Source organism: Homo sapiens, chromosome 7, assembly GCF_000001405.40.
Source record: "Homo sapiens chromosome 7, GRCh38.p14 Primary Assembly".
NCBI lineage: Eukaryota > Metazoa > Chordata > Mammalia > Primates > Hominidae > Homo > Homo sapiens.
The window spans coordinates 95,184,766-95,207,723 of NC_000007.14; the positions used below are offsets into that span (position 1 = coordinate 95,184,766).

The 22,958-nt window shown below is 34.1% G+C and overlaps 1 protein-coding gene and 1 long non-coding RNA gene across 48 annotated transcripts in view; one reads left to right on the forward strand and one right to left on the reverse strand.

Moving 5' to 3' along the window:
- PPP1R9A (protein phosphatase 1 regulatory subunit 9A) overlaps positions 1-22,958 on the forward strand; it is a 389,180-nt gene that overhangs the window by 277,530 nt on the left and 88,692 nt on the right. For 27 of the 44 annotated variants that reach the window (XM_047420580.1, XM_047420589.1, XM_047420594.1 and 24 more), the window contains one exon: positions 13,584-13,719. In XM_047420580.1, coding sequence (XP_047276536.1) covers positions 13,584-13,719 — 136 coding nt within the window. Of the gene's footprint in view, positions 1-13,583; positions 13,720-17,805; positions 17,869-18,899; positions 18,966-22,958 lie in introns of all 44 variants that reach the window. The other 17 variants (XM_047420574.1, XM_047420573.1, XM_011516381.2 and 14 more) reach the window with 2 other exon arrangements.
- Positions 1-22,958, reverse strand: part of PPP1R9A-AS1 (PPP1R9A antisense RNA 1) — a 178,641-nt gene that overhangs the window by 149,074 nt on the left and 6,609 nt on the right. The gene's annotated exons all lie outside the window — the stretch shown is intronic.

Below are 22,958 nucleotides of genomic sequence, written 5' to 3' on the forward strand. Positions count from 1 at the left end.
CTCCATCCAGGTTGCTGCAAATGTCATTATTTTCTTCCTTTTTATAGCTCAGTAGTATTCCATGCTGTATATATATGTACCAGCTTTTCTTTATCCACTCATTGATAGATGGCATTTAGGGTGTTCTATCTTTTTGCAGTTGAGAATTCTGCTGCAATAAACGTGAGTGTGTGGGTGTCTTTTTCATATAATGACTTTCTTTTGTCTGTGTAGCTACCTGGTAGTTAAATTGCTAGGTCAAATAGTAGTTCTACTTTTAAGTTTTTTTTTTTTTAATTTATTTATTTTTATTATACTTTAAGTTTTAGGGTACATGTGCACATTGTGCAGGTTAGTTACTCCATACTGTTTTCCATTGTGGTTATACTAGATTACATTCCCACCAGCCGTGTAAAAGTGTTCCCTTTTCACCACATCCATGCCAACATCTATGTTTTTTGTCTTTTAATTATGGCCATTCTTTCAGGAGTAAGGTGGTATCACACTGTGGTTTCGGTTTGCATTTCCCTGATCATTAGTGATGTTGAGCATTTTTTCATACATTTGTTAGCCACTTATATATATCTTCTTTGAGAACTGTCTATTCATGTCCCTAGCCCACTTTTTTATGGGATTTTTTTTTTGTCTTACTGATTGGCATTCTCTATAGATTCTGGGTATTAGTCCTGTGTCGGATGTATAGATGGCAAAGATTTTCTCCCACTCTTGGGGTTTTCTGTTTACTCTGCTGAAAACATTCTTTGCTGTGCAGAAGCTTTTTAGTTTAATTAGGTCCCATCTATTTACCTTTGTTTTTGTTGCATTTGCTTTTGGATTCTTGGTCATGAACTCTTTGCCTAAGCCAATGTCTAGAAGAGTTTTTTCCAGTGTTATCTAGAATTTTTATGGTTTCAGATCTTAGATTTAAGTCTTTGATCCATCTTGAATTGATTTTTGTATAAGGTGAGAGGTGAGGATGCAGTTTCATTCTTCTACATGTGGCTTTCCAATTACCCCAACACCTTTTGTTGAATAGGGTATCCTTTCCCCACTTCATGTTTTTGTTTGCTTTGTCAAACATCAGTTGGCTGTAAATATTTGGGTTTATTTCTGGGTTCTCTATTCTGTTCCTTTTTTCTACATGCCTATTTTTATACCAGTACCATGCTGTTTTGGTATAGCCATGTAGTATAATTTGAAGTCAGGTAATGTGATGCCTCCAGATTTGTTCTTTTTGCTTATTCTTGCTTTGGCTATGCAGGCTCTTTTTTTGTTCCATAGAAATTTTTAGGATTTTTTTTTTCTAGTTCTGTGAAGAATGATGATAGTGTTTTGATAGGAATTGCATTGAATTTGTAGATTGCTTTTGGCAGTGTGGTCATTTTCACAATATTGATTCTACCAATCCGTGAGCATGGGATATGTTTCCATTCATTTGTGCCATCTATGATTTCCTTCAGCAACGTTTTGTAGTTTTCCTTGTAGAGATCTTTCGAAACTCCCTAAATATTTTTTTAGGAGGGTGAGGAGCTGTTGTAAAAAAGGTTGAGTTCTTGATTTGATTCTCAGCTTGGTCGATATTGGTGTACAGCAGTGCTACTGATTTGTGTACATTCATTTTGCATCCTGAAATCTTACTGAACTTATTTGTCAGATCCAGGAGCTTTTTGAATGAGTATTTAGTGTTTTCTAGGTAAACGATCATATCATCTGCAAACAGCGACAGTTTGACTTCCTCTTTACCAATTTGGATACCCTTTATTTATTTCTTTTGTCTGATTGCTATGGCTAGAACTTTTCAGTACTATGTTGAATAGAAGTGGTCAAAGTGGGCATCTTTTTCTTGTTCTAGTTCTCAGGAGGAATGCTTTCAACTTTTCCCCATTCAGTGTAATGTTGTCTGTGGGTTTGTCATAGATGGCTTTTATTACCTTAAGGTATGGCTCTTTTATGCCAATTTTGCTGAGGGTTTTAATTGTAAAGGGATGCTGGATTTTGTCAGTGCTTTTCCTGCATCTGTTGATTATATGATTTTGTTTTTAATTCTGTTTATGTGGTGTGTCTCATTTATTGACTTGTATATATTAAATCATCCCTGCATCTCTGATTTGAAGCTCACTTGATCATGGTGGATTATCTTTTTGATATGCTGTTGGATTTGGTTTACTAGTATTTTATTGAGGATTTTTGCATCTATGTTCATCAGGAATGTTGGTCTGTAGTTTTCTTTTTTTGTTCTGTCCTTTCCTGGTTCTGGTATTAGGGTGATACTGGCTTTATATGATGATTTAGGGAGGATTCCCTTCTTCTCTGTCTTTTGGACTAGTTTCAGAAAGGTTGGTACCAATTATTCTTTAAACACCTGACAGAATTCATCTGTGAATCCTTCTGGTCCTGGACTTTTGTTGTAGTTGTTGGCAGTTTTTAAAATTACTATTTCAATCTTATTACTCATTATTGATCTGATCAGAGTTTTCATTTCTTCCTGATTTAATCTAGGAGGGTTGTATATTTTCAGGAATTTATCCATTTCCTCTAGATTTTCTAGATTCATGCATAAAGGTGTTTATAGTAGCCTTGAATGATCTTTTGTATTTCTGTGGTATTGGTTGCAGTATCTCCCATTTCATTTCTAATTGAGCTTATTCGGATATTTTCTCTTCTTGGTTAGTTGCACTAATGGTCTATCAATTTTGTTCATCTTTTCAAAAACCCAGCTTTTTATTTCATTGATTTTTTGTATTTTTTGTTGTTTGTTTCAATTTCATTTAGTTCTGCTCTAATGTTGGTTCTTTTCTTCTGCTGGGTTTGGATTTTGTTCTTTCTCTAGTTCCTTGAGTTGTGTCCTTAGATTGTCTGTTTGTGCTCTGTTGGACTTTTTGATGTAGGCAGTTAATGCTATGAACTTTCCTCCTAGCACTGCTTTTGCTGTGTCCTAGAAGTTTTAATATGTTGTGTCACTATTATTGTTTAGTTCAAAGAATGTTTAAATTTCTATCTTGATTTCATTGTTGACCCAAAGATCATTCAGGACCAGATTATTTTATTTGCCTGTATTTGTTTAGTTTTGAGGGTTTTTTTTGAGTCGATTTCCAGTTTTATTCCCCTGTGGTCTGAGAGGGCACTGGATATAATTTTGATTTTCCTTAATTTATTGAGACTTGTTTAATTTATTAATTTATTGGTCTATCTTCGAGAATTTTCCATGTGCTGATGAAAAAAATGTATACTCTGCAGTTGTTGGGTAGAATGTTCTCTAAATATCTGTTAAGTCCATTTGAAGTCCATTATTTTGTTGACTTTCTCTCTTAATGACCTGTCTAGTGCTGTCAGGTGAGTATTGAAGTCCCCTATTATTGGGTTGCCATCTATCTCATTTCTTATATCTAGTAATAATTGTTTTATAAATTTAGGAGTGCTGCGTTAGGTACATACATATTTAGGATTGTGATATTTTCCTGTTGGACTAGTCCTTTCATCATTGTATGATTTCCCTCTTTGTCTTTTTTAACTGTTGTTGCTTTAAAGTCTGTTTTGTCTGATATAAGAATGGCTATTCCTGATTGCTTTTCGTTTCCATTTACATGAAATATCTTTTTCCACCCCTTTACCTTAAGTTTATGTGAATCCTTATGCCTTAGGTAAGTCTCTTGAAGATAGCATATACTTGGTTGGTGGATTTTTAATCCATTCTACCATTCTGTATCTTTTAAGTGGAGCCTTTAGGTCATTTACACTCAGTGTTAGTATTGGGATGTGAGGTACTATTTTATTCATCACACTAGTTATTGCCTGAATACTTTGTTTGTTTGTTTGTTTTTGTTTGTGTGTGTGTGTGTGTCTGTGTTGTGTTTTGTTTTTTTTTTTTTTTTGAGACAGAATCTCACTCTGTTGCCTAGGCTGGAGTGCAGTGGTGCAATCTCGGCTCACTGTAACCTCTGCCTCCTGGGTTCAAGTGATTCTACTTCCTCAGCCTCCTGAGTAGCTGGGATTACAGGCACCTGCCACTGCACCTGGATAATTTTTGTAGTTTTAGTAGAGATAGGGTTTTACCATCTTGGCCAGGCTGGTCTTGAATTCCTGACATAGTGATCCATCTGCCTCAGCCTCCCAAAGAATACTTTGTTTTTTCTTCATTGTGTTATTGTTTTATAGGCCCCATGAGATTTATGCTTCAAGGAGGTTCAATTTTGGTGCATTTCAAGGGTTTGTTTCAAGATTCTTGTAGTGCTGGTGTGGTGGTGATGAATTCTCTCAGCATTTATTTCTTTGAAAAATCCTTTATCTCTCCATTTTGAAGCTTAGTTTTGCTGGATACAGAGTTCTTGGTTTGTAAGTATTTTGTTTGAGGATGCTAAAGTTAGGACCCTAATCCCTTTTGGCTTGTAGGGTTTCTGCTGAGAAATCTGCTGTTAATCTGGTAGGTTTTCCTTTATGTTACCACTTTATGTTCCTTTAGGTTACCGCTTGCTTTTGCCTCGCAGCTCTTAAGATTCTTTCCTTAGATAACCTGATGGCTACGTGCCTGGGTGATGATCTTTTTGCTGGTGGTCATCTTTTTGTGATTTATTTCCCAGGTGTTCTTTGAGCCTCATTGTATTTGGATCCTCTTCCTCCTCAGGAACACCAGTTATTCTTAGGTTTGGCTGTTTAACATAATCCTAAATTTTTTGGAGGGTTTGTTTATTCTTTTTTTTTTTTTTTTTTTTTGAGACGGAGTCTCGCTCTGTCGCCCAGGCTGGAGTGCAGTGGCGGGATCTCGGCTCACTGCAAGCTCCGCCTCCCGGGTTCACGCCATTCTCCTGCCTCAGCCTCCCAAGTAGCTGGGACTACAGGCGCCCGCCACTACGCCCGGCTAATTTTTTGTATTTTTAGTAGAGACGGGGTTTCACCATTTTAGCCGGGATGGTCTCGATCTCCTGACCTCGTGATCCGCCTGCCTCGGCCTCCCAAAGTGCTGGGATTACAGGCGTGAGCCACCGCGCCCGGCCGGGTTTGTTTATTCTTTAAAAATTATTTGTCTTTTTCTGATTGGGTTAAAGACCTTGACTTTGAGCTCTGAAGTTCTTTCTTCTACTCATTCAATTTTATTGTCGAAATTTTCCAGTGCCTTTTTTTATTTCTCTAAGTGTGTACTTCATTTCCAGAAGTTGTAATTGTTTTTCTTTATGGTATCTGTTTTTCTGGAGCATTTTTCATCCATATACTGTATTTTTTCCTTAATTTCTTTAAGCTGGTTTTCATCTTTCTCTGGTATCTACTTGAGTAGTTTAGTAATCAACCTTCTGAATTCTTTATCTGGCAAATCAGAGATTTCTTCTTGGTTTGGATCCCTTGCGCATGTTATAGAATCTTGTTTTGCCACATTACCAGAATTACTTTTCCGATTCCTTCTCATTTGAGCAACCTGTTTCAGTGGAAAAATATGGAACTCAAGGGCTGCTGTTCAGATTCTTTTGTCCCATGGGTGATCCCTTGATGTGGTACATTTCTTCTTTCCCTAGGGATGGGACTTCCTGCAAGCCAGACTTCAGTGACTGTTATTGCTCCTCTGGGTTTAGACACCTAGCAGGGTTACTAGGCTCTGTGTTAGTGCTGGGAAATGTCTGTAAAGAATCCTGTGATGTGATCCTTCTTCAGGTCTCCCAGCCATGGATACCAGTACCTGCTCTGGTGGAGTTGGCAGGGCTGTGAAATAGACTGTGTGAGAGTCCTTGGTTTTAGACACGTTGAGGATGCTGGCTTTCTTGAATGCTGGTTATGCCAGCAGTAAAGTTGTCACGTGGACACACTGAGAACCACTGGTTTGCTGGGATTTTGCAGGCAGTGAAATTAGCTGTTGTCTTCTCCCTCCTTGGAACAGGATTGTTCTGTCATGAGTTGCTGTAATGTCCTAAGTTGGTCGGCCTCCATCCAGGAGGTGGCGCTTTCAAGAGAGCCCCAGAGTTTTTGGCCTGTCTTTCAGAACTTGCAGTGGCTTGCCACTTCTTTCAAAGCATCTGTGAATTCTTTTAGTTTTCCTGGTACATTCCTGTGGTGGTTCCTGGATTAAAAGTCCACATTGTGAGTCCCCACACATTGTTCTGTCTGTCCAAGTGGGAGCTGCATGTCAGCCCTGTCTCCTGTCTGCCATCTTGACTCCACAATCAGCTTTTTCATTTTTACTGAAACTTAATTCCACATTGAGAGTTTTTAAATTTCAGCATTGAATAAGTGCCATTTTTGACTAGTATATAAATTTTATTAAAACAACTACATCTGAAAAATAAGGAATTCATAAATTATCATTTTTATAACCTCTCGTCATTTACATGGAACATGTAGAATCTTTATGACTTCAATTTAGTAAATTGTAAATACAGTTTAATTGTTGTTTAACTTGTATTTGACAGCTTACCAAATAAACTAATGAAATGAATCCCACGTAATCTAGATACCTACACTCCAAAGAACAGTACATGGATATTTCTTGGCCTGATAATAAATGAAAAGAAAGGAATAACTGATGTATCTGCCTTGACTTATTGTATCTCAACATGAAGGGGAGAGAGGGCAGTTCTTAGTGAAATAATGCACATTAAAACAAGATAAAAAATTTTAATTGACATAATGATTGCATATATTGAAGTGGTACATAATTATGTTTTGATTTATAATGTATAGTGATCATATCATGGTAATTAGCATATCTATGATCTCAAACATTATCATTTCTTTATGTTGGGAACATTCAATGTCCTCCTAGCTATTTGAAACTCTGTAATATATTATTGTTAACTAGAGTCATCCCACAACGGTATAGAACACTAGTATTTATTCCTTCTATATAGTGGTAATTTTGTCCAAGGTAATTTTGTTTAACACAATAAAAAACCATGCTAAAAACATAAACCTTAATTGTAGATTTTAGTTTTGGTATTGTATTATTTGGCGATGATAAGCTTAGAAAAAATACTTAATTTTTAATTTAATTCATTAGATTTTGTTTCTGTTAATTTATTCTTTATAGCTAAAAGATAAAAAGATCACACTATTTTACTATCACACATTATTTTTGTTTGTTGAAGCAAAGAAAAAAATTTAGAATGTGACAAGAGAAAATATTATTAATCTTAAAGAAAATTTAAGTTTTAAAACAGGCTGATTCAACACATGTTGTCAGTTCAGTTTCAGACAATGTATAAGATATGAATCATAGTTGTGCAGAAATATCAATTGATTTGGTCACACATATTTAGGACTGATTATTGCTGACTATTGTTATATTTTTGAAGGTTTTAAAAATTCAATTAAAGTGATTATATAGATTTATACTTTAATATTTCAGTGGCAACAGAAATTTTGGTTTTCAGAGCACATCTGAGATTAAAGATTTTATCCTTTTCCTATGGTTGACTCATAAAAAATCAACTCTATTTTCAATACTGTGATCAAATAAAAGGGAATTGGGACAGTGTGTAGAGTAAGTACTTTTTTTTCATCATTTCATCGTGTTTATTACCTGCTCTCAGATTGCCCAGCAAAGATATTGTAACAGTGTGCGTTGTAATCAATAAGTAATGTATAAATATGCAGTTTCACCATGGCCTCAGCACTATTAAATTTTATTATTTTAATTTATTATTTTATTATTAACTGGATAGATAGGAAATGGCATCTCTATTTTCTTTTCAATTTAATGTTCTTTGCTTACTAGTGAAAAGATGATACATGATCTATTGATGTTGCCACCAAAGTTTCAGAACAGTCTATAGGAGGTACTTTTAAATGCATTTGGCCTTGTCTAGATTAAAACAACAGCTTACATTTATTAAACACTCACTAAGCACCAGATACTTAGTTTTTTTAAGGATTATATAATATTTGTTCTGGTTAGTATACTCATTTTACAACTGTGGAAACAAAGGCTTAGAAATATTAATACATCCAAGGTCACAGAATCAGTAGGTGGTATTTATAGTTTGGTGGATTTGTCCCATCAAAGTTGGTTTTCCCTTTTACTTACCATTTTAACTCCTAAGTTGTACTATCATAGCATACCCATACTCTGAATTCATAACTGAAATAATAACCTTACTTTAAATTTTACATTTTCTGCTGAATTCTCTTTATGCTAGTTGCATATATAATCTTACAGGACATATTTATAAAGACAGCTTAAAATAGACCAGACACTTAAGAACGTATAGGAAGGTAATTTGAATGTTACAGATTTTTCAATATGGGAGATTTTATCAGTTTCATCATAATAACAATAGTGCATTCAAATTCTTTCATGTATGTACCACATCTTATTCTTTTATCACTCCTTCAGACACATGAGGTTATATACTGATCTCCACATGAGGAAAATGAGGCAGGGGACTGTTGTTTGGTTCCACTTCTGTGTGCTTTCCATCTGGATCGTACTTATCAGGATGACATTCTATTATTGCAAATCTGTGCTTTAAATTTATTGGATTACAAAGCTTTAAAGATGTGTGGATCTGGGTGCTATAACACTGCTCAAAATAGCTGCCTGAATGAAGAGATATATGTACTTTAACATTACACTTTTAAAAGTGAGTATATTTCATGAGATGAATTGTCTGTCTTATGCGCAATTATAAATCATTTCTATTTCATAAGACTGTAGAGTGATTTTGAATACAAAGCAATATTGGACAAATAGCAAATTATGTTAAATTGTAGGGCAAATTGAGAAAGCGAAGCTGTGATTTTGAGCAACTGTGCCTTCATGATTTAAAATGCAACTTTCTTATGCAGTATGGAACAATTCTTATTTCCTCTCAAACTTCTATTATAAATGCATTTATTCTTTTTAATTTTAGCTTCACAGATAATTCTGGTTTGGAATTAGGGATCTTTTTTTGAGGATAGGAAGAAATTTGCAAATTATATTTGAGTTTTGATTTATTGTGATAATTGACTAATTTATTATATAACCTGTTATAATCTGAACTATTTAAAAATAATTTTCTGCTTTAAAATCTCTCACAGGGTCTTTCTTAAGACACTTTCATTCACCTCTGGAAATAGCAGCAGTAGTTTCTAATCTTTGGCTAGCAGATAATTTCTAAAATCATTTTTCTTTCTCCCCGAATTGTAGTTTGAGTAGCACTTGTCTTTCAGAGAAAATGAACTTTATTCCTATTAGAAAAACTGTTAAACTAAAAGATCTGACAACAACATTCTTGAATAAGTTTAAAGAATTTATGGCTTAAATTAATCTGAATTCTAATTTACCTTTTACCTTGAGCTTGGCTGCTGTTTTCAATTTATATGCATTTTATACATTAACTGCTACCCTCAATTTCCTGTCAACTTTGTAGTAAGTGATACTCTGTCAAATGCTACTCTATGATGCATTTAAATAAAGATAAAAGGTCAATCTAGGCTTTTCTAAAGTTACCATTCTAGGATATAAGCTTCTGAATTGCTTTGTATTTGTATCATTAGACGTAATTTCTGACATTTAAAAATTTACCAAAAATGTAATGAATTCAAGGTAGTCATTATATGTCTATGGATTCTTTAAGCATGTTAAAGACTTTATGTATCTTTAACCATAAAAAACATAATATTGCTAAATAAAATTATTCTGTGTATCTCTAGGCAGTCTAGAACTCATATTCTAGAATTCTAGATCAGCAGTGAACAAAGTGAGGATGTCTACTCTTACCCCTTCTTTTTAATATATGTTGGAAGTTTTAGCCAGGGCATTAAGGCAGTAAATACATAGACAAATAAATAGACAGATAGGAAAGGAAGAAGTAAAATATGTATTTCTTCATAGTAGATGTGATATTATATATCAAATGATTCTAGGAAATCTGCAAAGGTACTAGGATTAATAAATGACTTTAGCAAGGTCGCAGAATACAAGGCCAGTATTCAAAGATCAATTATATGTCTATACTTTAAAAACAAATAACCAGAAACAGAAATTTAAAAGCCAGTATCACTTACAATACCAAAAAAAAAAAAAAAATGAAATACTTAGAGGTAAATTTAACAAACATTTTTTAAGACCTATATACTGAAAACCATAGTATATTATTGAGAGAAAGTAAAAATCTGAATGAATATAGAGATACACCATGTTCAGGGATCAGATAAGTCAATTTTGCTAAGATGTCAGTTCTCCACAAATTAATTTAGAATTCAAAGCAATTCTAAATTAAACCCAATGGGCTTTATTTTAGAAATTGACAAGCTGATTTTAAAATTTATATGGAATTGCAGAGGAAAAACAATTGATACAGAGTTAGAAAACTCACACCACCTAAATATTTATTATATAGTAATCAGAGAAGTGTGTTATTAGCATATGATGTTGAAACAATTCATTATCCATTTAGAAATACAAAAGGAAACTCCACCCTTACCACACATCATACATGGAAATCAATTTACAAGATATCATAGACCTAATATAAAAGCAAAACATAAACACTTTAAGGAGAAAAATAGGAGAAAATCTTAGCAATCTTAAATCAGGCAGAGGCTTTTTAGATAGGAAGCAAAAGCCATCAGTTTTTTTTTTTTTTTCTTGAGACAGGGTCTTGCTTTGTCACCCAGTCTGGAGGGCATTGGTGCAATCATGGCTCACTGCAGCCTTGACCTCCTGGGGTCAAGCAGTCTCCCCACTTCAGCCTCTCAAGTAGCTAAAACTACAGGTGCATGCCACCACACCTGGCTTTTTTTTTTTTTTTTAAGGGACGGGTCTCATTGTGTTACTTAGGCTGATCTTGAACTCCTGGGCTCAAACATTCTTCCCACCTTGGCCTCCCGAAGTGCTGGGGTTACAGGCATGAGCCACCGTGTCCAGCATGAATATTTATAACAAAGTGATAAATTAGACTTCCTTGAGAGATACAATTTAAAAAATGAAAAAGCAAGCCACAGACTAGGACGAGTTAATAAATAAATTAAATGCATAAACACCTACATGTATATTGTGTATGTTTGTATATGTATATTGAACATACATGGACAAGGATATGTGTCAAGAATATATAAAGGGCCAGGTGCAGTGGCTCATGCCTGTAATCCCAGCACTTTGGGGGGCCAAAGTGAGAGGATCACTTGAGGCCAAGAGTTCAAGAACAGCCTGGGCAAAACAATGAGATGTCATCTCTACAAAAAATTATAAAATGAGCTTTGCCAGGCATGGGGCACATGCTTGTTAGCTACTCAGAAGGCTGAGGCAGGAGAATTGCTTGAGCCCAGGAGTTCTAGGATACAATGAGCTGTGATCATGCCACTGCACTCCAGCATGGGTGACAGAGCAAGACTCTGTTTTAAAAATAAAATACACACATACGTGTGTGTGTGTGTGTGTGTGTATGTGTATTTTTGTCTATAAAGAACAATTATAACTCAATAATAGAAAGACAACCCAATTTTCAGTAATGGGTAAAACAGTTGAAAAGATATTTCACTGCAGAAGATATGTGAATGGTCAGTAAGTGCATGAAAAGATAATATCATCAGTCATCAGGGCAATGGAAATTAAAAACATTATGAAATACCACAAGATACCTACTAGAATGGCCAAAATTTTTAAAGACAGTACTAAGTGTTGATGAGGATGCAAAGCAACTACAGCTTTTATGCATTGCTAGTGGGAATATGAAATGATACTATTACTTCGAAAAACAATTTGACAATTTCTTTATAAGTTAATTATACATTTACCATATGACTTATCAATTCCATTATTTGTCTAAAGGAAATGAAAACTTATGTTCACATAAAGACTTGTTCACAAATGTTTATAGTAACTTTCTTTATAATATCAACCCAAATGCCTATCAGTAGAAAAATAGATAATCCAAATGTGGTATATTGAATACAATGGAAAACTATTTAGTGATAAAAAAGAGCAAATAACTGATACTTACAGCAACATGGATAAACCTCCAAATCATTGTGGTGAGCAAAACAAGCTAGATACTCTAAAATTCCATTTTTATAGAATTCTAGAAAAGATTAATATAGGCCCAGGATGAAGATGACTTACTGGAAAGGATTATAAGGAAATAGTTTGGGTTGATGGAAATGTTCTGTATCTTCATTGGTGTGGTAATTACGCGTTTACATATGTATCACAGTTATTGAACTGTACATTTAAAATTCATGTATTTTATTGTGTGTAAATTGTACCTGAATAAAGATGAAAAAGGTAGTATTTATAAATTCTATTAATAATTGATTTCCAAAGGAAAATAACACAAAAGATAAGTGAACACTTAAAGATAATTTCAAAGTAAATCTTGCTTGAAACTATATAAAAGTATTTATTAAAAGGCAATTAATTACTAACATCCAAGTGTGAAAATTTTGACCTTTAGTGTATTGTGCAGAAAAATTGTGGTATATTTCATTTAAAATTGATCAAAGACAGCAACATACATTAATCAGAGGAAAGCATCAATTAAATGTAGAAACAAGATTTAAACAAAGATTCATATTAAAATAATGATAAGTAATACTTAGAAACTGCATCCTAGAGACACATTATTCGTATTTTTAGAAAAACAGAAACATATTAGTGTGAAAAGATGTTAAAAAATGAATATTAAATTGTTGAGCACAACACATTATGTTGGCAACAATATACCATAAGTGACTGTAGCTTGCAATAAGGAAATATCTTACTTGTTTTTCTCTTTAGGCTTTTTTTATAGGCATTAATAACAAATATTTCCTTTCCTCCCTTATTTATTGAATCACACCCCTTCTCATACTATCTTTCCCCCCAAAGGAAGTGAATTAATTCACTACCTCTTGTTATTACAGTTTTTCATTTTAAAAACAAAAAACACTTAAGTTTTCCTTTTCTCTTATTTCAAAGTTATATATTTAGCCACCTGAGTTATGCTATGCGTCAAAATGTTTGTTGTTGTTGTTGTTGTTGGTTTGAGACAGAGTCTCTGTCACCCAGGCTGGAGTGCAGTGGCGCGGTCTTGGCTCACTGCAACCTCCGCCTCTCGGATTCAAACGATTCTCCTGCCTCAGCCTCCAGAGTAGCTGGGACTACAGGTGCGCGCCACCACGCCCGGCTAATTTTTGTATTTTTAGTAGAGACGGGATTTTGCCTTCTTGGCCAGGCTGCTCTCGAACTCCGGGCCTCAGGTGATCCACCCACCTTTGCCTCCCAAAGTGTTGGGATTATAGGCTTGAGCCACTGAGCCCAGCCCTCAAAATGTTTTTGAAGTAATTTTTGTTATAGTTACACAAATGCTTCTTTAGTTCAATGGTACAGGAAATTATGAGCTTGCTTCTATTTTGTATGGCATCAAAAATGTGTAAAGTACTGCAGAATGGGTTACGTATATTACATCTTCTCTTAAAATGATAATTTTTATGGTCCTTTACTTTTTTCCCCCTTCTTTTCCTTTATGAGCTGTGTCCCTAAAAATCACTTTAATTGCACATCTAAGCTTTCTTCTCACCCAAGAAAACCATTTTGAAGTACGTAGGTGATATTACTTTCTTGAGGCTTGATGGACCCTGCTGAGATCAAACCTGTTTACTTTTCTTAAAACTCCTTTTTGTTGGAGAGTCTTAAATATTAGTCTTTGTTAACCTTTCCACAGATTTGTTATTGGGCGGGAAAAACCAGGACAAGTGAGCGAGGTTGCCCAGTTGATAAGCCAGACACTGGAACAGGAGAGGCGCCAGAGAGAGCTGCTGGAACAGCACTATGCCCAGTATGATGCCGACGATGACGAGGTCAGTAGTGCTTGCAAAGATTCTTTTTCCCACATTTTCTAATTCATGAAACTCTCTCTACTGTATAACAGTATGACAGGTTTTATGCAGTTTCTTGAGGAAGGTGTGTCCACATTGAACTAAAATTCTACCTTAGAAAAGAAATACTACTCGCATCTGATATACGCTTAAGAATCAAGTCATGGTATCCTGTTTACAGTATGAAGACTGTGGACACAAATAAGTCTTATCTTTTGCACTATTATAAAGGAAGTCATAGAAACAGAAAAGGATAAAAACACAAAAATGTGAATAATGTCATCTTTATTGGTGGAATTGGGTGATTTTCTCTCTCTGCTTTATATTTTTTCAATCTTTTCCAAATGTTCTACAATAGTATGTAATGCTTTTCCAAAAAATCAGTAAACACACCCATACACAAACAAATATACATAGAAAAGTACTAAAGATTGCTGAGTGTTTCCAGTGTCTTTTTCCCCCAGGAAGAAAAAGTTCTTTGGATCTGCTTACTATGATTTGTGCTAACATAATGCAGAACAAAGCTTTCCACTAGCACATGTTCCATAGAGCAGATACATATTGGAATAATTTTACATCCTGCTTTCTGTAAAAGATCAAGTAAATGAATAGAAGCTAACCCCCAAGTGAAAACAGCTCTCCAGAACCCTTGTGTGCTGTAATATAATACAGATGCTGGTCTATTTCTAATGTCTTTGAAATGTACATTGATATAATGGGACAACATGCTTTATTATAAACACGTTTAAACATTCATGTGTTTCATATTGGTGTGTCAAAAGATCCATCAACAATTTAATTGTAGTATTTTATACTCCATAAACTAGTACATATTCAGGTAAAACAAATATTCTTCATTCCAGCTAATATAACCACAGTGAAACTTCATGTATTCAACCCCTTCTTATCTGAATATATAATTTTTCAGAATTTTGCTTTCTAGCCAGGATATAGATATTAATAAACAGACATTCAAATATTTTCACATATTTTTAATCTGAGATGTTTTAATCCCAATGTATATTAAGATCTCATGAATATGTGGTATAATGAGGATATATTCTCCACTTATAGCAGAAAATTAGAGGTGGTATATCCGTTAACTTTTGATCAAAGAATAATATATTAGAAATCCTTTAAATGAATGAATTAGACTCTTAGAACTTGATTTAATTTATTTTCTTACTTGGTGAGTCCATTTGAAATGGCAAGTATATTTTCATTACACTGAGATATTTTGTATGAAAAATGTTCTCTTGAATTTTCAAACTAAAAAAGGGATTTCCTCAAATATTTTGAACTTGTATCTTACCTGGTTTTCAATTCTTTACATTAGTATTTTGTATTTTATCAGAGACACTGATTTGCTTTTGCTGCAAGCTTATTCTGAGATTGTAGAATCATTTTCTGCAGGTTTGATTTTTGCGTCCTCACTGTGCTAGGATTTTTGGTCTTAGGTTCAGGGGAGTACAGTGACATCAAGTGGTGGAAGGGGACATGGCCAGGCTTTCTAGTCTGTGTGCCTTGGTGTCTTTGGCATGAAAGCACAGGGATTGGGCTAGATCACAAAATTCCTTCCAGCTTCTAATGTTCCATGAATATGAAATAAGACATCAAGTCTAACAAGCAGAGGGGGCAAAGAAAGAAGATAGTCACATTTTTAAGGCACTCCAAGTAAAACATTTAGATCACAGACCACACATTTTCTGCAGGTATTTTGAGGCGCTGATCACATTCATCCCCAAAAGTTGATATAAAATTTTGCTCTTTTTTTTTTTTTACGACACAGGGTCTTGCTCTGCCACCCAGGCTGGAGTGCAGTGGTGCAAGCATAGCTCACTATATCCTTGAGCTCCTGGGCTCAAGCCAACCTCCTGCCTTGCCTCAGCCTCCTGAGTAGCTGGGGCAACAAGCACACAGAACCACATCCTGCTAATTAAAAAAAAAAAATTTTTTTTTTATAGATGAGGTCTCACTATGTTGTCCAGGCCTGTCTTGAACTCCTGGCCTCAAGCAGTCCTCCTGCCTCAGCCTTCCAAAGTGCTGGGATTACAGGTGTGAGCCACCCTACCTGGCCCAGATTTTTCTTTAACTTGATAATTGGAATAGATGGAAAAAGAATAGTTTTTACTTGACATTTATACTTAGGAATGTATCACATCTTAAATGGAAGATTGTTTATAGATTTTTTTTGTTTGCCTGTTTTTGTAAAGTAATCAGAGTTGTCACCTGAGCAGATATTTTCAGGGGCAAGGAAATTAAGTAAATATTCAGTGGCAAGCACTTTGCAAGGTGTCTTTCTTACATGATCTCATTTAATCTTTAATGCAGCCAGAAGAGATTTTCTTTTTTTCCCTAGAAATGCAGCAACTGAGGTTTTTTTCTAGTGGTACATCCAGTAGCTGGCAGAGTTGAAATTGGAATAAAGTCTTGCTGGCTCCAAAGCCTGGACTCTTTGCAACACACTGTGCTGTTTTTGAGTAGCATGTAAGAACACTCCTGCAGACACAGAATAACTGGGTAACAAAAGATGTTAAGAGAATTACTGTTTGCGGTGATGGAGTTTAGGTTCTATGATTCTTTGTTCTGTATTTCTAATAATAGGGAAATCAAGTCTTTGGATAATTATTTTCTCTATGCAACAGTCCATAAGAATCATCTTTATAGAGTTTAAAGAGAAGAATAATTGAGTACTCAAATTTTTTTTAATTAGTTTAGCTTTAAGTTAAACTGTTTTTCTTTCTGCAAGTTGTAGAAGTAAAAACGAGGTGCTTGCTATGTTACTCCAAGTAACTCACTTTATGGAAAAAAGTCAAGGAGACTTCTCCTTTGTATCTGTCTCTCATCCTCTGTGACTTGGGTTTTTTCCCTTTCTTGTATGTTACACACTGCCTCAACAAAACATGCCCAGATAAAACCAACTGTTAATTTTCAGTGCATAGGAGAGATGAAAGCTGTACAAATAGTGAAAATCCACTCCAATGTTAAAACTTCAAATTGTCACTTGATTCAAATTCTTTTTTCTAATGCTGAAAAAATTATTAAATGGATTGATTTGAGTGCTTTTTCCCTATTTTCTATTTACTCTCTGTCTTTCTTTGTGAATGAAGAATAAAATGTCCAAGAGGCATAAAGGAAATGAGAAGAACAAATATTGGATAGCTAATGGATAAATGCTCCTTGAATAATTGAGTTAATTTCATATATAATTGAACAATTTATTGATTAGTATATCTTTGTTAATCAGTCACTTGGTTTTTTTACTTTTATGATTTATAGAATCATCTTGTGATTTCAAAGTTAGAGTTATTTTTATTTGACAGTATCTCCTGTGACATTCCCTGCACCAGCCAGGAAAACCTCCATTTAGATACAGAACAACCAAGTTCATCCAACTGATTTCCAGAGCCAGCTCTTAGTCAGCATTTTCTGCTGAAGGATAGATAGCTTCTGTTTTTGATCAAATCATCCAAAGTTGATTGTAACTTGGAACTTGTCACATTGACAGAGGGTATTTGCTTGCTTGCATTCACTACATGGAAAACATCACAATGGGAGAAATAGATCCTGAAATTATAAACCTACAGTGGAGCTCTAAAAACTATATTGAGAAAGATTAACTTACAATATATTGCTTATGCTTAGACATATCTGTTTCAATGCTTTAGGAAATTATAAGTCATACTCTAGTAGAATTTAAGCTATGTAGATAATTTTCAAACTATTTAAATTTCTGCTTTTTCTGTTTTTTTCTTCCTCTACATCTTTAGAAGGGTTTAAAATAAGCAAACAGCCAATTTTATTTTAATTTGCATCCCTGTTTTTGTTTACTCTCTGTTAAACATTCTGATTAAAAAAAAATGTTAAAATGGCTCTGCCTAAAAGCTGTAGAATAAAAAGGAGGATCCTATTTAAGAAGAGGGAGATGAATATTTGAACAATTGAAAAATTTTAAATGTATATCTGAATATATCTGTGATTCATGATTTAATTTCTGTTTAATCGAAGTATTGATCACTTGTTTTTTTTTTCTTTCTTTCTCTTTTCTTTTTTTTAATAATCTGAAAGGTTGCCATGGAGGATTTCAATAAATCTCTCAGACAATCAGCACTATTTCATGACACTCGGGGGGTATGATAAATTTTTCAACTAGAATTTAACTTTTTAGTAACATTTAATCTCTTGTCATACTCCACCACTATCAGTTTGTAGCCTTTTAGTAGTGAGATGATGTAATTATGGTATATATTTTGTGTAGTGTGTATATATTATGAGTATTTTTTATTTAAGAGCATTATGCCGTTTGAAATGCTGCAGGCTTAGACTGGAAATACAGTATGAACTAGTGCTATATTCCATTTTTGAGTTAGAAAATAGGTATGGTCATTGAAATTAAAATAAAGTATTACACTTTAAAAATTATGATTATTTGGCTTCCTTAAATATTCTTTTAAGATATAGTATTTGTTACATTGTAAAGTCTTAGCTATAGATAGCATTTCAAAGTCTCCTTAGGCAGTAGTTCATAAGAAGGTTAATCATCACTCCAGAAACTGAAGCCCCTTCTATACTGAAGCCCCTAAAATATAATTTAATCTTTCTTTCATAATTTGTTTTCATTACTGGAAATTAATATCATTATAACAATATTATAGCAACTTTTTTTTTAGAATCTTTTAAAGTATTGAATACAGTTTAGAGTAGCTGCCCTCATGGGTATGGTTTTTTATTGCTTGTGTTAGCATGTCATAATTAGAGGCAAAAATATAATGGAAGCTTTGGTTTGCATAAGTATTAAAAGGTATACAATAATATAATATTTATGTTATAAAAAGTGTTAGAGGGATAACATTAAGTTTGACTCATACTGTTTGCCATTCCTAGTTGGAAACAGCTTGTGTGTGTAAACAAGAGAATGCAATTATTATGGTTGGCCTTTTAATAATGTGAATATAATAATGTAAATAGACTTTATACTGTATCTATAATACTGAGAAACCAAGAGTGTGGGCATTTTTTACCAACATGCCGCAATATTGTCTTAGTACTTAACAGTGTGTATTACAGTAAGCACTGGGACTCAGTGTTTTTCAATCCTTTATCAGGCTGCTCTCTGCGGTGGGGGTTAAGCCTTCTTTAATATTTTTTGTCAACCATTTTAGAACACTGTGGCTGAATTGCAAGGAATGTCTGGCAACTGCAATAACAATAACAACTATTTTCTTAAGGTTTGTTTTTTGGTTTAAAGTAATGCTTACCTGTACTTTCCTGCTTCATATGTAAAATTAAATATTCTTTGTGTCTTATTAACTATCTGTATGTTCTGAAGAACTTCTCTAGAGTGATGTGTTTTGTGCATTGAATAATAGTTTGAAAATAATCATTCAAAAAACAATTCTGAAACATAGCATATATTTTAGGTATAGGTTCTGCAATTTAGACTCATTTCTTAATATTTAGCCATGGATATTTTTAACCCCTAACACTTTAAATATCTTGTGATTCAAATTAAAGGGAAAAAGCAAATGTCCAACAGCAGGTCTGTATGATGTTTACACAGTAATAATGCACATAGTGATTTATACTGTCTGTAAATCCAGTACTTTTTTAGAAAATAATCTTTTGATACAAAATTCTTGATTTCTCAAAACACTAAATATATCTTTAAATTATAGTAGTATTTAGTTGCATGATTTATATGGTAGACATATCAAAATATCTAAAATATCAAAATATCTAAAATGATACTATACTTTAAATAATAAAATAATTCTCGTTATGTTTAGTTGCTGTTAATATAGATAGCAGTGCTTAAAAATGGAGGTTGAGTGTATGTAAAAGGCAGGCTGATTTATGGCAATTAGAGGAAACTGAAGAATAAAGGAAATATATTTAACAGCCTGTTCACAGACTCCAATTTGGTCTAATCTCTAAAATCATTAAATTTAATTATATCCTTTGTTTTATGATCCCCAAATCTATAGCAACAGTCATTGTCACCAAAGCCAAGAATCACAAGGTGCTTGGAAAACATTCCGTTTAAGACCCTATCCATATGTGCACTGGCCTAAGTAGTGTATACACATGCTTAACACACACACACACCACACACACACCACACTCACACCACACATACCCATGCACACACACCACACATATCCACACACACACCACACACACACCACACATACCCACACACACCACACACACACACCACACTCACACCACACATACCCACACACACCCACCACACATACCCACAAACACCACACACACACACCACACACACACCACACATGCCCACACACACATCACACACACCACACATACCCTCACAACCACACACACACCACACACACGACAAACACCACCCTCACACACCACACACACCACAAATACATACACACCTCACGCCCCCACACCATACACACACCACATACCCACACACGACACGCACACACCACACATACCCACACACACCACAGACGCACACACCATACACACCACACACACGCCACACACACACACACTCACTCTGATCCCACGGGGTAGACATCCTCCTGTACTTGAAAGATTCTCTCTAGAAATATTCTTCATATATGGAGATGTTATTTTTTAATACACTGTGTACAGACAGAAAGATGGGTAAAGGGGAGATACAGGTTAGGATAGGAACCTTCATCTAAACAATGTCATCTTTTTGCAGATCATTTTCTTTGATTTAAAAAAATTATGATGCAAATGATTTGAATATATTTTCCTTCCCACTGCCACATTGTGATATTATTTACTCATGAGCTAGATACGAAATACCAAATAAACTTTATCAAATTCTTCCATGTAATTAAATTTCTCTGAAAGTGTAGACTTTGTACTCCCTAGAAACAATGCTAGAACAATTCAATATTACAATGATGAAACACAGAGTTTGCAGTGTTAAAGAGATGTCATAGAAACTACCACAAATGACAGTATTTTTCTGACTTTAAAAACATATATTTTATTAGTTGAATAATTTACCAAAACATTCTAAAATGCTAAAAGACATAGTGAGAGACGGATGCCTGGGAAACAGACTTACTTTCCCAGGGGCCATCGGGATCCCCTGGATTTTCTATGCCTTTTGTTTCCTATACCTTTTATGGTGTCTAGTACACTGACTCTGTTGCCCTTGTATGTCAGCTTAATCCTGTGCACCTTTCAGGGTTCCATTTAAGTTTCATCTCCTTCACAAAGCATTGCTGGGCTAGTGGTCTTTTAAAAGTGTGTCAGTAGCACTGTGTGTATCTCTTTCTGTCATTATTTATCCATAAATTCCCCCCATTAGCCTGTAATCTCTTCAATGACAGGTTTCAATGGGCTTTTGCTTGCTACAGCATTTTAATTGTCTTGAGAGTCCATGAATTTGCAAGAAGACCCTATCTCTATCACACTAAACCACAATCTTCTTCATGTAAAACCAGAAAAAAAAACAAACGTGCATATTTTAGCCCTTGAAAACCTTTGGGAATATCAAAATAGCAACTTGGTGACTCACAGTAACATGCCTTCTTTTTAGTCATAACTGAATAAACCTGCAGTTGAAACAGAATAGTCAAAATGGCCTAAATTACAATACTGCATATATGTCCTTATCTCCTTCCCAATGTATTCACTTAGAAATAGCCTTAAATCATAGAAACATATTTTCTATCACAGAAACACATTTCCATTTGCAATAAAAACTGAATGGTGATGTGGCCAAGGACTGAGATGGTAAAGCTGCTTTATCATGGAGTTTTGCCAGGCTTGATAAAAGATGTTAAAAACTCTAATTGATTTCTGAAGTTTCAGTTCCTAAAGGGATTTTTTTAATGGATTTATTGAGATAAATTTGACATAGAGTGAAATGCACAGATCTTAAAGATATAATTTTATATATTATCATTACATAGCTCCATTTAAATATTAACTTTAATGAGTAATAATTTACATACAATAAATGCACTAATTTTAAGTGTATTTAAGTTAATGGTTTGATGAGTAACCACCACCATAATCAAGATACAAGACATTTTTATTACCTCAAATAGTTACCTTAGGGAACTTTGTAGTCACTCTCAGCCTGAGACAACTATTCAGTCTGCTTTTTGAAACTATAAGTTAATTTCTCCAATTCTAGAATGTAATTAGAATAAAAGCACAACATACTTAATTCTAGAATATAATTACAATAAAAGCAGAACATACTTTTCTTGAACTGCTTCTTTCACTCATCATAATGTCATAATTATCGTTAATGCTTAAATGTTATGATGATACTGTAATTGGTATTGCTTTGAGTTATAGTAGACAAAACCCAGGGTCCACCTGATATGGGATGCCTAATTAGGAAACTTCATCATAAAGCTGGAACCCCATGGACTACACCTTTCTGTAAGGTGAAAATAAATCTATCACCCCAGGGACTGCATGGAAAATTGCCAGTGTCAAACCTTGGGTGCTGAGTGGAAAAGCCAAAAAAATTTTTTCTAACAAATTATGATCACAAGTAGCCTTAATTTATGTTACTTTTCAGAAGAAAAAAAAAAGCATATCTTTCCTTGGGCGTTCATCTTTACTCAAAGAAAAAAAGTTAAAGTTTCGAGAAATATGAGTTGACGGTTTCAAGGTACAAAGTTCGCAGGAAAATAAAGCACCATGAGTAAAAAACAGCAGAAAATAGAAGAAAGGGAGGGAGGAAAAGAAAAAAAAGAGAAGAAAGAAAATAAATATAAGGTCAAAATCATTTTATTATCAATTATACCAAACTAGAACAAATATCTCCAATTGCATATAACTTATTCCAGAAGACAGAAAAACAAAAGTAGTACAACTTTGATACCAGGAATGCAGTAAAACTTTGACAGTGTGAGATGTATGAAGTAATAAAACATAACTTTGGTACCAAAAGCTAACAATGATGAGAAAGAAAACTTATAGGTCCATCCCATTCATAAAAACAATGCAAAAAGGTCCTAAACAAAATATTAGCAAACCATATGAAGCAACATATAAAAGAGATAATATATCATAGCTAGGTTGGGTTTAGCCAGGAATGCAAGTATGGTTTAACATTGGAAAATCTGTCACTTTTTATATTTGACATTGTACTGGAAGGCAAGTAAAAGAAATTAAAGAAATAAATTGTAAAGAAATGAAACTGTTATTCACATATGATGAGATTGTCTATTTAAAAAATC